This window comes from Homo sapiens, chromosome 1 (genome assembly GCF_000001405.40).
Source record: "Homo sapiens chromosome 1, GRCh38.p14 Primary Assembly".
NCBI classification, from domain to species: Eukaryota; Metazoa; Chordata; class Mammalia; order Primates; family Hominidae; genus Homo; species Homo sapiens.
The window spans coordinates 12,534,593-12,548,579 of NC_000001.11; the positions used below are offsets into that span (position 1 = coordinate 12,534,593).

A 13,987-nucleotide genomic window follows, 5' to 3' on the forward strand; every position below is an offset into this window, starting at 1 on the left:
AAGCTCCACCTCCAAGGTTCACGCCATTCTCCTGCCTCAGCCTCCCGAGTAGCTGGGACTACAGGCACCTGCCACCACGCCCAGCTAATTTTTTGTATTTTTAGTAGAGATGGGGTTTCACTGTGTTAGCCAGGATGGTCTCGACCTCCTGACCTTGTGATCCACCCGCCTCGGCCTCCCAAAGTGCTGGGATTACAGGCTTGAGCCACCACACCTGGCCCATTTGGGTCACCTAAAGAACATTCTTTAGTGTTTGGTGTGTGTGTGTGTGTGTGTGTGTGTGTGTGTGTGTGTGTTTGACAGAGTTTTGCTCTGTTGCCCAGGCTGGAGTGCAGTAGTGCAATCACTACTCACTGCAGCCTCGACCTCCAGGGCTAAAGCGATCCTCCCACCTCAGCCTCCTGAATAGCTAGGACTACAGGCATGCGTCACCACACCTGGCTAATTTTTTAGATTCTTTGTTAAGACGAGGTTTCACTTTATTGCTCAGTCTGGTTTCGAACTCCTGGGCCCAAGTGATCCTCCCACCACGGCCTCCCAAAATGCTGGGATTACAGGCATGAGGCACGGCACCTGGCCTATCTCAATTTTTGTTCTCCTGAAAATGTCTTTATTTTACCTTGAGTTTTGAAGGATATTTTCACAGGATGAAGAATTCTACATTCCTTCAGCACTTTAAATATATCATTCTATTATCTTTGGTTTCTACAGTTTCTGATCAGAAGTCAGCCATAATTCTTATTTTTGTTCTCTTGGATGTGATGTGTCCATATTTCTCCAGCTGATTCTTAAGAATGCTTTCTTTGTCCTTAGTTTTTAGCAGTTCGACTATGATGGTCTAGGTGTAGTATTTCTGTATTTATCCAGTTTAGGATGTGCTGAGCTTTTTGAATCCGTGGGTTGCTATAGTTCATCCGTTTTGGAAAGTGGCCATTACCTCTTCCAATATTTCCTTTGTCCCATTTTCTCTCCCTTTCATTCTGCAACTCCAAATAAAAGCATATTAGCTCATTTAATATTGTCCCACGTTTTTGAATGCTTTGTTGTGTCTTATTTGATTATTCTTTCTTTCTCTGTGTGCCTCAGTTTTGATAATTTCTGTTGACTTGTCTTGAGTTCATAGATTCTTTATTCTGCCATGTCTAATATGCTATTAAGCACGTCCAAAAAATTCTTTATTTCAGATTCTGTATTTTTCAGTTCTAGAATTTCCATTTAAAAATTTTCATTTCAGCCAAGCACGGAGGCTTACACCTGTTATCCTAGCACTTTGGGAGGATTGCTTGAGACCAGGAGCTCAAGACCAGCCTGGGTAACATAGGGAGACCTTCTCTCTACAAATAAATACATATGTAATTTTCAAAATTATTTTTAAAGGTTTTCATTTCTATGTTGAATTTCCCCATCTGCTCACGTTTTGTCTCCCTTTCCACTAAATCCTTTAATATATTTATGTATTTTAATGCCTTTGTCTGCTAATTCCAACATCTGGATTATATTGACTTTGCTGCTACTGACTGCTTTTTTCTTCTTCTCTTGTCAATGGTTCATATTCCCTGCTTCTTTACCTGTCTAGTAATTTTTTATTATATGCTAAACATTTTGAGTGCCTCATTGTAGAAACTCTGGGTTATGATACTATCCTCTGAAGAGTGTTAAACATTTTTTTCTGGCAGTTAACTAACTGGTGGATTGTCTTGATTTTGTTAAAGATTGATTTTAGACTTCGTTAGGGTGGTTCTATTTCAGTTTTAGTCACAGTTTTAGGAGGAAGCCCTTACTCTTAAGGTATGATCTTTACTTCTGAATGGTAGCCTTTCTGGATTTCTCTGTGGTTCCCTCCTTTTTGGTAACCTGCCCACAAATTCTAGCTGTTTTTGCTGCCCTGAACCCTGAGCTTCCTTTTCTCTACCCAGAGAGACTGTGACTCTCTGCTTGTAATCCTCTTCCTGGTACCACAGTTTGAAAATTACCCCAAGGCAGAAAGTCAAGGGGGATGTGTAGTTCAGCCTTTTGTGTTTCCCTTTTTAAAGGATTGTAGCATGGCAATGCCTGCAGTCTAATGCCTAATAATTGTTTCATATATTTTGACCATTTTTGCAGTTATTTGTGACAGATTTGTCCAGTACCAACTACTCTGCCATGGATAGAACCAGAAATTTCTCCTTTTCTCTGAGCCCTTGCCAATTAAGCTTTCATCCCCACAACCTCACCCTTTCCAGATAATCAATGACATTCATATTTCAAACTCTAATCTTCATGATAAGGCCTTATCTAATCTGAATAAAAGCTGTATTTGTCATGATTGAGCACTCTCTCTCCTTCTTTTTTTTTTTTTTTTTGAGATGGAGTCTCATTCTGTCACCCAGGCTGGAGTGCAGTGGCACAATCTTGGCTCACTGCAACCTCTGCCTCCTGGGTTCAGGTGATTCTCCTGCCTCAGCCTCCTGAGTAGCTGGAACCACAGGTGCGTGCCACCACGCCCGGCTAATTTTTTGTACTTTTAGTAGAGTTGGGTTTTCACCATGTTAGCCAGGATGGTCTCGATCTCCTGGCCTCGTGATCTGCCCACCTTGGCCTCCCAAAGTGCTGGGATTACAGGCGTGAGCCACCGTGCCCAGCCACTCTCTCCTTCTTGAAAGTTTTTTTTTTTTTACTTTGTTTCCAGAATACCCAATTCCTTCATTTTCCTCCTACTTCACTCGTTATTCTTTGTTCTCATCTTCCTGGCCTCCAAATGTTGGAGAGCCGCAGCATTCACTGTAAGTCCTCTTCCTTTCTTCAGCCAAACTCTCCTTGGTTATCTCTCTGAGTCCTATGGCTTTAAATATCATCTGTATATGGGCAGGTCTCATAGTCTTATCTCCCGCCTGAATTTCTGCCCTGAAATTCAAACTCAGAGCTCCATCTGCCTCTCAATGTCTCCATTTAGAAGCCTAAAAAGCATGCCTTACTTAACATGTCCAAAACTGACCAAGCCTGCCTCTCCTTTGGTCTTACCCATCTTAATAAATAACTCCATTTTCCCAGTTGCTCAAGCCAACCATTTTGGAATCATCCTGGAAACTTCTCTTTTATTCGAACCCCATATCCAATCCATCAGAAAATCCTGTTGGCCCGACCTTGGAAAGCTACCCCACCATCATCTCCCTCCTGGATTATTACTGTAGCATTCTCAATGGTTCCTTGCTTCCTCCCTTGCCTCCTGTGCCAGCTGAGACCACTGCAGAATGTAGATGAGCTGTATCCTCTGACAGATACAGAGATTGCAGAGAGGTTAGCAGACGGGCTGATTACAAGCTGCGGGTGGGATCAGGGGTACCAACAAGAGACGGTGACGTATCCTCTTACCATCCCTAAGATGGGTGAGAGTCAAAGCTGCCGGCCCCCTGATAGGAGCCATAGCCTTTGGTAGAAAAAGTCAGCTACTTCCAAACTACAGCCTAGTGGAGACAGAGAGCCAGGGAAATCAATACCCTCCCCTCTCCTCTTGCCCTCTGATCTCCTGCTCTGTCTCCCACTGGCTGAGCCTAACTGGAAGCTGGAGGGTTGGGGAGCCCACTGATATAGTCCACAGAGGGCAGCCTCCCAGGGCAGAGAGCAGGGTGAACAAAGGGAGAGTAAATTTAGAAGGCAAATGGTGAATATCCCAAACCCCTCTGCTTGCCCACAGCTGCACACACCATCCATGGCCCAGTCTTCATGTAGCTGCCAGAGTGATCTATGCACTACTGGGGACCAGAGGTGAGGGGTGGGGGTCACAGGATGGATGGAGCCTGGATCTATGGGACACTAAAGGGAGGAGGGCTGCTTGCCCACCAGGAATGCTGATCTTTCCTTAAGAGAGCAAGATAAAAACCTCTATTGTGTTTGAGTTACTAAATGTTTGGGAGTCTATTACAGTTTAGCCACTTATCTTAGACACATGTAAAGCAAGGGTAATAGTTATATCATCCCTACAGGGCTATCAGGGGAATTAAATAAGCTATAATTGCTTAGAACAATGCTTGGCATAAGTTCTTAAGCAATGGTAACAATTATTATTATTATTACTATTATTATTGAGACAGTCTCAGTCTGTCTCCCAGTCTGGAGTGCAGTGGTGCAATCTCAGCTCATTGCAACCTCTGCTTCCTGTGCTCAAGTGATCTTCCCACCTCAGCTTCCCGAGTAGCTGGGACTACAGGCACACGTCACCATGCCTGGCTAATTTTTTGTAGAGACAGGGTTTTGCCATGTTGCCCAGGCTGGTCTTGAACTCCTGGCAGATCCTCAAGTGATCTCCCTGCCTTGGCCTCACAAAGTGCTGGAATTACAGGTGTGAGTCACTGCACCCGGTCCAATTATTATTTTTATTTAATATGTAAAATTAATATGAAAGCATACTATTAATTATGTTTTTGCGAATGCCTTGTTATAGACTTTGAGGGGTTCTTCCAGAGAGTTGAAGAATTGTGGAGTGTGTGTGTGTGTGTGTGTGTGTGTGTGTGTGTGTGTATACATATATATATAGAGAGAGAGAGAGAATTCCAGCCACCTCACCCCACACCCCAAGAGGCTGCTGATCCACTTGCCCTCCAGGCAGAGTGCCCAGGAGAAAAGAGAGCTGGTTCCTGACTTGCTTTAGGATGGGGCAGACGTTCCTCTGTGCCATGTTCCAGGCCAAAACCTTATGAAGGCCTAGCACCTTCACTCATGTGCTTTTGGGAGCCCCAAGTCACTGAATAGTCTGGCTACCCTGCAGGACAGACCACATGGAGAGGCCATGTAAGACAGGGAGAGAGGCCCCGAGACTCCACAGGGACAGAGAGACAGGCACAGCCATCCTCGTGAACCAGGTGTCCCAGCCTTCTGGGTGTCCCCACAAAGATGCCACATGCCTGAGCCATGTTGAACCCTTCAGCCCAGAAGAGCCCCAGCAAACAGCCCCTCCAGCCACCACCCCAGCAGATGATGGAGCAGATGATTCACCTAGCTGAGCCCTGTCCACCCTCAGGTTCAAACAAGATCATCAAATGGCTGGGTGTTTTTTTGTTTGGTTGGTTTGGTTTGGTTTTTTGAGAGAGGGTCTTGCTCTGTGGCCCAGGCTAGAGTGCAAGTGACTCAGTGCAGCCTTGAACTCCTGGACTCAAGTGATCTTCCTGCCTCAGCCTCCTGAGTGGCTGGGACTACAGGTGTGCCCCATTAATCCAGCTAATTTTTATATTTTTTGATAGAGGTGGGATCTCACTATGTTGGCCAGGCTGGTCTCGAACTCCTGACCTCAAGCAATCCTCCCACTTTGGTCTCTCAAAGTGCTAGTTTTACAGACATGAGTCACCATGCCTGGAGATAATTGTTTTAAGCCATAAAGTTTTGGGGTGGTTTGTGACGTTGCCACAACAGCAAGCCGAGCCTGCCCGTGTGAGCAGGAGGTGGGTGGGTACTTGCTGCTTTGAATTTCCCTTCCAGTTGGGGGAGCTGGAAATTCAAAGTCGCAAGTACCCACCCCACCCGCTGCTCACATACGCAGGCTTGGGAAGGAACGGAACACCAAGGGCCGGCTGCTTGGGTGTGTTGCAACCAGACGCCCGCAGGCCTTGGATGGATGGAATTCTCCAGGCATCCGTGGTGGGGGGACCGGCTCCTGCCCCCTTGGCCGAGAGGGCTGAGCTCACTCAGCGTCTCCATTCCTCTTCTTGATTGGCACTTTAATGAGGGCAGAAGGGGCTGACCCCCTGCCAGGGGACCGGTTCATGCCCCGTTTATCTCACAGCCCGAGTCAGACTAAAACAACATCGCAGGCCGAGCGGCCAGGAGCCAGCAGGGCCGGGAGCCCCCGCCCTCGGTGATGGATTGAGTGACCGCGGCGAGTTGGCAGCTGAAGTGTGTGGTGGCCGCACCGTCCTGTCAGCCTGCAACAAAGGAGGCCGGCCTGGCCCGGCCCTCACGCCAAACGGCTCCCCTCCCAGGGACAGCTCCGAAGGCTGCCTTTCCCTCCACCCTCCCCCAACTCCAACGCCAAGTTCCCAGAGGCAGGCTGAGGCCAGAGCCCAGTGTGCGGGGAGGGGCACTGTCCTGGGGTCCTGGGTGCGGTGCATGGGGGTGGGAAATCCTGGGCTTGCAGGCGGAGCTGGTGCTGAGAACGTCCTCTCGGGCTCCTGGCTTCAGGGCCCAGCACTGGACCCTTCCTGACGGTGCAGAGGAGGGGCTCCCTGGTCCAGCAATCCCTGAAGGATCCCAGCTGGGCCTTTTACTTGCTGTGCAACCTTGAGTGAGTTTGTCAACCTCTCTGAACCTCTCCTCATCTGTCAGAGGCGAATCCTGCTTATAACTACATCCCTGGGTTCTTTTGAGGATGAAATGAGACTTGCTGGCAGAGCCTCCCTTCCAGAAAGCAGGCTCCTACACGTGAGGCCTCGGTTTACCTGGGCGGTACTGACCATCTCCCCAGTGCCCCTGCCTGGGTTGAATGACTCTGAGAGGAGCCACTGGTGGTAAAGAACCCCCCAACTCCCGCTGTCAGGAATTGTCACCAGCTGCCACCATAAGTACCACAGCGCTGCAGCTTAGGGGTAGACCCCTTTTTACACATGGAGAAACTGAAGCTCAGAGACGTAAATGTGCCCAGTGTCCTGCAGAGAGTGAGACAGGTCAGGGACGCCAACCCAGAGCTGCCTGGCTCCGAAGTCTATGCGGCTGCTCCCAAGGCCCTGAGCTGTGGGCTGGAATTTCCCTGTAAGGACAGGGTCGTAAGTGACAGCCCCCAGTGCTCGCAGAGGCAAAGGGCCAGAGCCTGATTTGCAACGTGCGCCTCGACAGCCATGAAGTGCTCCAGGGGGGCAGCCTTTCCCATGCCTTCCTGGGGCCACAGAGTGCAGTTGAGCTCAGCAGCTTGGAGGAGGTGCAGGGGGCCGGCCTCAGCCCCTGGGTCTCCAGGTGTGGGGACCTACATCAGGAACAGGACAGTCTTTGCAGTCCCAGCTGCTCTGTCCCCAGAGCTGGGGAGGGGAGAAGACAGAGCTGGACAAATGGCTCATCAGATCCCAGAGAGCCCTGGAAGGGGAGGAAGGGGCCTTCCCGGGCCTTGTCTGGATAGCTCAGTCCTCCCAGGAGGGGAAGAAACCAGCCTCCGCTTGCAGATTTCACCTCCCTGTGAACTCCCAAAGGGCGGGAGGCCAAGCCGCAGCTGAGGTCAGAGAAAGTAGCAGGGTGACCGTGGGGCTCCACGTGGCCCTCCCTCACTCTCTGCCACGGGCCCTCCAAAAACAGGCTTCTGCCCCTCAGCGCCTCCAACAGCCTTTCCCCACCACCAGACAAAAGATGAGCTGAGCTGCCCAGCTGGTGGATCAGGGCTCTGAGGGTGGGCTAAACCAGTAGAGGCTTCCCCCAAACTCTGATTCACCAGACGAGGAGAAACCCAGCCTTTTGGCCCCAAGAATCCCGGTGCCCCACCCTGGATCCAGCCCTGAGTGGGCCCTTAAAACTGTTTCCTCCCACCCCAAGTGCTTTGCATCTATTATTCCCTTTGTGTCAAAAAGTCTTGTCCCCATTTGCCCGGTTAATTCTAAGTCAGCCATCAGAGCTCATGACACAGGTCGCTTCCTCAGGGAAGCCTTCCGTGACTGACACCCCTCCTGGCAGACCCCTGGTCAGAATAAGTCCCTCCCTGTACCGTAGTCCACGTGGCTCTGCCAGCCCTTCCTTTGCAGCTTTGCGCATGTTAAATGTCATGTTTCGTGGATTTGTGTTGATGATAAGCTCCCGATGCAGAGATGGTAGGGACCATCTCTGCTCACGTGTCTGTCCCCAGGCCCAGAAGACAGCCTGGCACACGGCAGGTGCCTGATGAGCACTTGTGGACTGGATGGCATTGGCCAGTGTGCATCTCCCAGGAACTCTGCTGTGAACTCCGCTTGGGCAGGGACATGTCTGTTTTGTTCACCATTGTGTCCCCAAAATTCAAAGTCTTGCACCTAGAACACTCTTGTTGGATATTTGATAATGAGTGAGTTTGCTGCAAAAGGAAAAAAAGCAAGAACAATAACAATTACCACCATAAAATAAGAAAACGGACCCAGAATAGAATTTGAGGCAAGAGACCCTCTGAATGAGGAGATTCTAAGTCCTTTCATTCCAGAAGAATTATCCTGTGTGCTTCAGTGAGCCAAATCCCCAGGGAACAAATGACATCAGGGAAAGCTGCCTGAGCCCAGGACAAAATCAACTAAATTGCTCCAACTGGTAAACCTCCTGGCTCTCATTTCAGCCCACTGAGTCTTAGAGAGTTGGTGGCGGGGGGCGGTGGGGGGGTTGGGGGTAGAGCATAGAATAGCAGGAGTGTGACTCTAATGTAACCCAGGACAGGAAATGTTTCCAATGTTCTAAATTTTGTGGACAAAGTAAAATGTCAGGAAACAGGAAGCAAAAGAGTGGCTACAATATATAAAGAATTCATTAAAATAAACAAGAAAAACATTGAGTTTAATGTAGACAAACAGAGGACGTGAAAGAATCACTTACATATGAAGAAACTAGAGTTGGGCAGTCAGCATTCATTGAATGCTTATCTGTATTAGACACTGAAGTAAGTTTTACATCTCACTTCATTAGCACAGGGAGTATAGCAAGAAAATCCAACCAAATGGCCAAGCACAGTGGCTCCCACCTATAATACCAGCACTTTGGGAGGCCAAGGTGGGAGAATTACTCGAGCCCAAGAGTTCAAGAGAAGCCTGAGCAGCATAGCGAGATCTCATCTCTACAGATAAAATAATTGGCTAGGGATGGTGGCACTCACCAGTGGTTCCGGCTACTGGGGAGGCTGAGGTGGGAGGATCATTTGAGTCCAGGAGGTCGAGGCTGCAGTGAGCCATCCAGGATAATGCCACCACACTTCAGCCTGGGCGACAGAGATCCTGTCAAAAAAAAAAAAAAGAAAGAAAGAAAAAAGAAAAAGAAAGAAGAAAGAAAGAAAGAAGAAAGAAAGAAAGAAAGAAAGAAAATCCAACCAACAAATGTACGTTTCTAATTTTTTTGTATATTATTTACAAAGTTCTATAATCCTTTTGTTTGTCCCAAGAAAATTCCTGCATTCCTGTCTTAATTAAATCTCTCCAACCAACCAGTTTTCTGCAGAATATAATTCATTCATTCAGGTATGAAATGATGAAAACTGTTTACATAGCCACAACCCTGATAACTACGTCTGGGATGAAATTAATTTATTTCTGAGGCGTCTGGGTTCCGCAGATGACGTAATTACTATTGGACATTCAAACTACTCCTAAGACTCATTTAGGGTAGTTCTGAGACACACTGGCAATATGGAAATAGGTCGTAAGTTCTTGGGGCAAAGACCATGTTTTGATTTTGCTATTCTGAAAGTACCGCATGTATCTAAAGCTCCTATAAATAAACAAATCAAGATCAAATGATTGGTTGAATTGGACAAAAAGAAAAACTTACCAGCTGGAAATGGCAGCATTCCCAGTTTATATCTGACCCGGTTGGGGCTCAGAGGTTAATTAACATGGCAAGCTCACGTGCTCTGAGTTCACGTGATTGTCCTCACTCATCATCAAAGAGGGGGAAACTAAGGCAGTATTAAGAGGCTATTTTATATTTACAAAATGAATTTAAAACAAGGTTTTTTTCTTTGAGACAAGGTCTCGCTCTGGCACCCAGATTGGAGTCCAGTGGTGTGATCATGGCTTAGTGCAATCTGCCCATCTCAGTGGGACCACGGGTGGAACTGCCCGCATGTGCCACCATGCCCGGCTAATTTTAATTTTTTTTTGGTAGAAAAAGGGCCTCCCTATCTCCCTATGTTGACCAGACTTGTCTTAAACTCCTGGGCTCAAGTGATCCTCCTGCCTCAGCCTCCCAAAGTGCAGGTATTACAGGCATGAGCCACTGCACCAGGAAAAGAAAAGTGTTCTCAAGGTCACACCCAGGATTCTGAAGCATGCAGAGAAATTCAGGTACTCACTCTGCTGTTGAAGGTATTGCAAATTGCTGTCGTACTTAGAAATTAACTCACACCCAGAGAAAGAAAGTCATAAAACGATGTTTCCATCCCAGTAATTCTCTATTGGAATTCATCCCAAGGAAAAGGTTTATGAGATGCAAAGGGCCAGAACCATTCAAACATGCACGGCTGCATTATTGTGAGCGGAAAAAACTGGAAACAACCTAAACATCCACTATCAAAAAAACTTTCCAAAAATACGGTAAAACCCCACGAAGGAATAGTAGAAAACTATTACAATGATATTTAAAAGGAGAAATTTAAAGATTATGCAGAAATACAAAAAACATCTGTGAAAGCGTTAAGCAAAAATCATAAATTATAAAAACGATTGAAAAAATTGGGTACTTGGTGAGTGCCCAATTTTCTTTTAAATTTTTTTCTTTTCTTGTCACGATATCATCTTTGTAATAATACTGATTAAATATTTTAAAACAATGAGCCCATGGACGGACTATCTGCTCTGGGAAGCCCCTGGCTGGGGAACTGTGGGAAAGACAGGAAGCGGAAAGGTCATGGTCCCTGGGGGAAATCCCACCGCGGGTGGGCACAGCTTCAGGAAGAACCTGTTTCTCTGGGGAGCAGGATGGTGATGACCACAGTGACCCATTTTTAAAGCAGTCAGCTCTCTTTGAAGGATCACATAAGTTTAACTTGTGATCCCTTCCTTCCTCCCTTCATTCATTCAACACATCTGAATGGAGCGCTTCCTCTGTGACAGACACAGGTTTAATGAGGTAGTTGGGGAAAACAAACCACCTCGATGCAGCGAAATCTCAGCCTAGATCTGAATGCATGTTGGCATTATTTTATTTTTTAAAAAAATTATGTATCGGCCAGGCACCCTGACTCACGCCTGTAATCCCAGCACTTTGGGAGGCCGAGGTGGGCGGATCACCGGAGGTCAGGAGTTTGAGACCAGCCTGGCCAACATGGAGACACCCCGTCTCTACTAAAGATACAAAAATTAGCCCGTCATGGTGGAAACGCCTGTAATCCCAGCTACGCGGGAGGCTGAGGCAGGAGAATCGCTTGAACCCGGAAGGTGGAGGTTGTAATCAGCTGAGATTGTGCCACTGCACTCCAGCCTGGGGGACAAGAGTGAGACTTCGTCTCAAAAAACAAAATAAAAATAAAAATAATTATGTATCATTTTTATTTATTTATTTTGAGATGGGATCTCACTCAGTCGCCCAGGCAGTGGCACAGTCTTAGCTCACTGCAACCTCCGCCTCTGGTGCTTAAGCGATCTTCCTGCCTCAGCCTCAGCCTCCCGAGTAGCTGGCACTACAGGCGCCTGCCACCATGCTGGGCTAATTTTTATACTTATTTATTTATTTATTTATTTATTTATTTAGAGATGGAATCTTGCTCTGTCACCAGGCTGGAGTGCAGTGGCACAATCTTGGCTCACTGCAACCTCCAACTCCCTGGTTGAAGTGATTCTCCTGCCTCAGCCTCCTGAATAGCTGAGATTACAGGCATGCGCCACCATGCCCAGCTAATTTTTGTATTTCTAGTAGAGATGGGGTTTCACCACGTTGGCCAGGATGGTCTCGATCTCCTGACCTCATGATCTGCCCGCCTCAGCCTCCCAAAGTGCTGGGATTACAGGAATGAGCCACCGCGCCCGGCCAGTTTTTGTAGGGACGGGATTTCAGCATGTTGCCTACGCTGGTCTTGAACCCTTGGACTCAAGCCTCCCAAAATGTTGGGATTACAGGCATGAGCCACCGCGCCTTGCTGTATCATTTTTACAATTAGAAAACATAGAGCTATGGCCCAGCACTTTGGGACACCGAGGCGGGTGGACTGCCTGAGGTCAGGAGTTGGAGACCAGCCTGGCAAACATGGCTAAACCCTGACTCTACTAAAAAAATATAAAAATTAGCCAGGCATGGTGGCATGCCCCTGTAATCCCAGCTACTCCCGAGGCTGAGGCAGGATAATCTCTTGAACCTGGGAGGCAGAGGTTGCAGTGAGCCGAGATCACGCCATTGCACTCCGGCCTGGGCCACAGAGACAGACTATGTCTCAAAACAACAACAACAAAAACAAAAACAACAACAACGAAAGAAAGAAAACATAGCGCGAATTGCATGTTAGTAAACAATGGTGATGGTTTATGGAGTCCCAGAAACATTCCCTGAAGTCAGACACCTCTTCATAGGAGAGCCAGAGCCTCATTCTTTCCACCCTGGGCCCAAGTTCCCCATCTCCCTGGCCATAGCCTATGATGATGGGGTAATGACCACAGGGTTCATCCCGTTAGGTCCCCATCCAGGAGCTGGCAGGCTCCTGAGCCCGGGAGGATGGGGTAGGAGGGTGTGGCTAGTCTGCGCAGCGGAGCCCCACTCTTACAAGCACAACTCAAGGGATTGTGTTCTTGACATGATTGGCCCCAAACTGGGTCCATTTGTTTCATGGGAAAGATGGCTCTGGGTCCAGCAGAGGAGCAGGCAGCCTATGGGTCCCCAGTCCCAGAATATAGACCTCGGGGGTCTATATCTCACCAGGGATGGTCCAATCCTCCCTTCCTACAGAGACCTCAGGCCTGTCAGCACCAAACGCCTCCCCAGGGAGAGAAGAAAGTTACAGATGGCAGGGACAAAGCATTCGGGTTTTCATTTCCTCCACGGGGTGTTGGCCACATTGGAACGTCTGTGACTGCGAGAACGGGGGCCAAATGCTCCCACGTGCTTGCCAAGCTGCGAGTACAATTCCTCCTCCTCCACCCTCTCTCCAGGGGATGCTCGCTTCCCAAGCAGCTGCATTTTTTTTTTCTCCTCCTCAGTTCTGGAGAAGGTTGATACTGAGTTCCCATTTTACAGAAACCCAAACTGAGACTGCAGGGCCTGAAGCCAGGATGGGAATGACAGAGCCAGAAGGACTGGCTCCCAATGACGAGCCTCCCAGAGGGCTCGTCTGTCCTGGGTCCTCCATGTGGTGGACAGGATCAGAGGGTGCCCTCGTTAGGGAGATGGGGTCGCCTCAATTCAACAACAGGAGGACAATCTACCAAGAAGCCCAAGGGCGAATCTCAGCTCATGACCTTGGCGTGGCCCCTGCTATTTCCTGGCCCGTAACACTGCCCCGCGGCCCTGTGCTTCTGCTCTGCCCAGCTCTCGACCTCAGCTCACACCACTCTCCTTACACAGGTGTCCCTCCTGTCATTCGGACCTCAGCTCAAAGGCCACCTCCTCTGAGAGGCCTGTGCTGACAGCCCCCACCAAAGCTGCCCTCCAAGGATTCCATCCACCTGGCATTTGCCCTGTGGGTGGTCTGTGCCCACATCTGTCTGCCCACCTCCTGCCCCCTCTCTGTCACTCTCCCCTCTGTGGACGCAGGCACCAGCCCAGTGCTCAGCATGCCACAGCCACCCAGTGCCGTGGAGTGAAGGGACATCAGGCCACTCGCAGGGCCCCAGGGCATCCTCTTGTGCCCGCCTGGGTCACCCTTCACCCCGGCCGAGCTCCACGTGGATTTGGGCCCTGCATCTTCTTGGGGAACCATCTGAGGATCTGGGCTGGGCAGGCAGCAGCGGAGGAGATTGGCAGAGGAAGGCGGCAGGAGGCCGGGGCCTGTGACCAGACCGCCAGGTCTCGTCCTGCTCTCCTGCTGACCCTATTTCCTGGGGGGACCAGACACTTCCACTGTCTCCCCCTAAGCCCATAAGCCACCACTCTGTGGCTACCTAGAGGTTTCTGTCCATGATGTCTGGTCCAGGTGGGCTCCAGTGAGTGAGGGGCAAACCTTTGGGGCAGGAGCCTGGGGCATGGCCATTGCCCGGGAGTCCCTGAACCCACTTTTCCAGAGGGAGGGGCTCTTCCCTTCTTCCCTGAAGGTGGAGCTGTCCCGTAAGGGGTGGCTCAGGTTGGAAACAAGCAAAGAGAAGAAGGGTTGGGCGAGAGGGTCACGCCTGGGAGAAGCCCCAGAGCACCAGGGCCAACTTCAGATGGAATGACCCTGGCCCCCGAC

General features: G+C 49.1%; 3 annotated features.

Moving 5' to 3' along the window:
- Nucleotides 5,760-6,408: an enhancer, noted in NCBI's record as "H3K27ac-H3K4me1 hESC enhancer chr1:12600378-12601026 (GRCh37/hg19 assembly coordinates)". NCBI's record gives its function as "activates a minimal SCP1, AML or CMV promoter by ChIP-STARR-seq in naive H9 embryonic stem cells {active_cell/tissue: H9 hESC(naive)}" and the evidence as "EXISTENCE:reporter gene assay evidence [ECO:0000049][PMID:30033119]".
- Nucleotides 6,971-7,265: an enhancer, noted in NCBI's record as "tiled region #4366; K562 Activating DNase matched - State 5:Enh". NCBI's record gives its function as "activates a minimal TATA promoter and a strong SV40 promoter by Sharpr-MPRA in K562 cells {active_cell/tissue: K562}" and the evidence as "EXISTENCE:reporter gene assay evidence [ECO:0000049][PMID:27701403]".
- Nucleotides 13,430-13,937: an enhancer, noted in NCBI's record as "H3K4me1 hESC enhancer chr1:12608056-12608563 (GRCh37/hg19 assembly coordinates)". NCBI's record gives its function as "activates a minimal SCP1, AML or CMV promoter by ChIP-STARR-seq in naive H9 embryonic stem cells {active_cell/tissue: H9 hESC(naive)}" and the evidence as "EXISTENCE:reporter gene assay evidence [ECO:0000049][PMID:30033119]".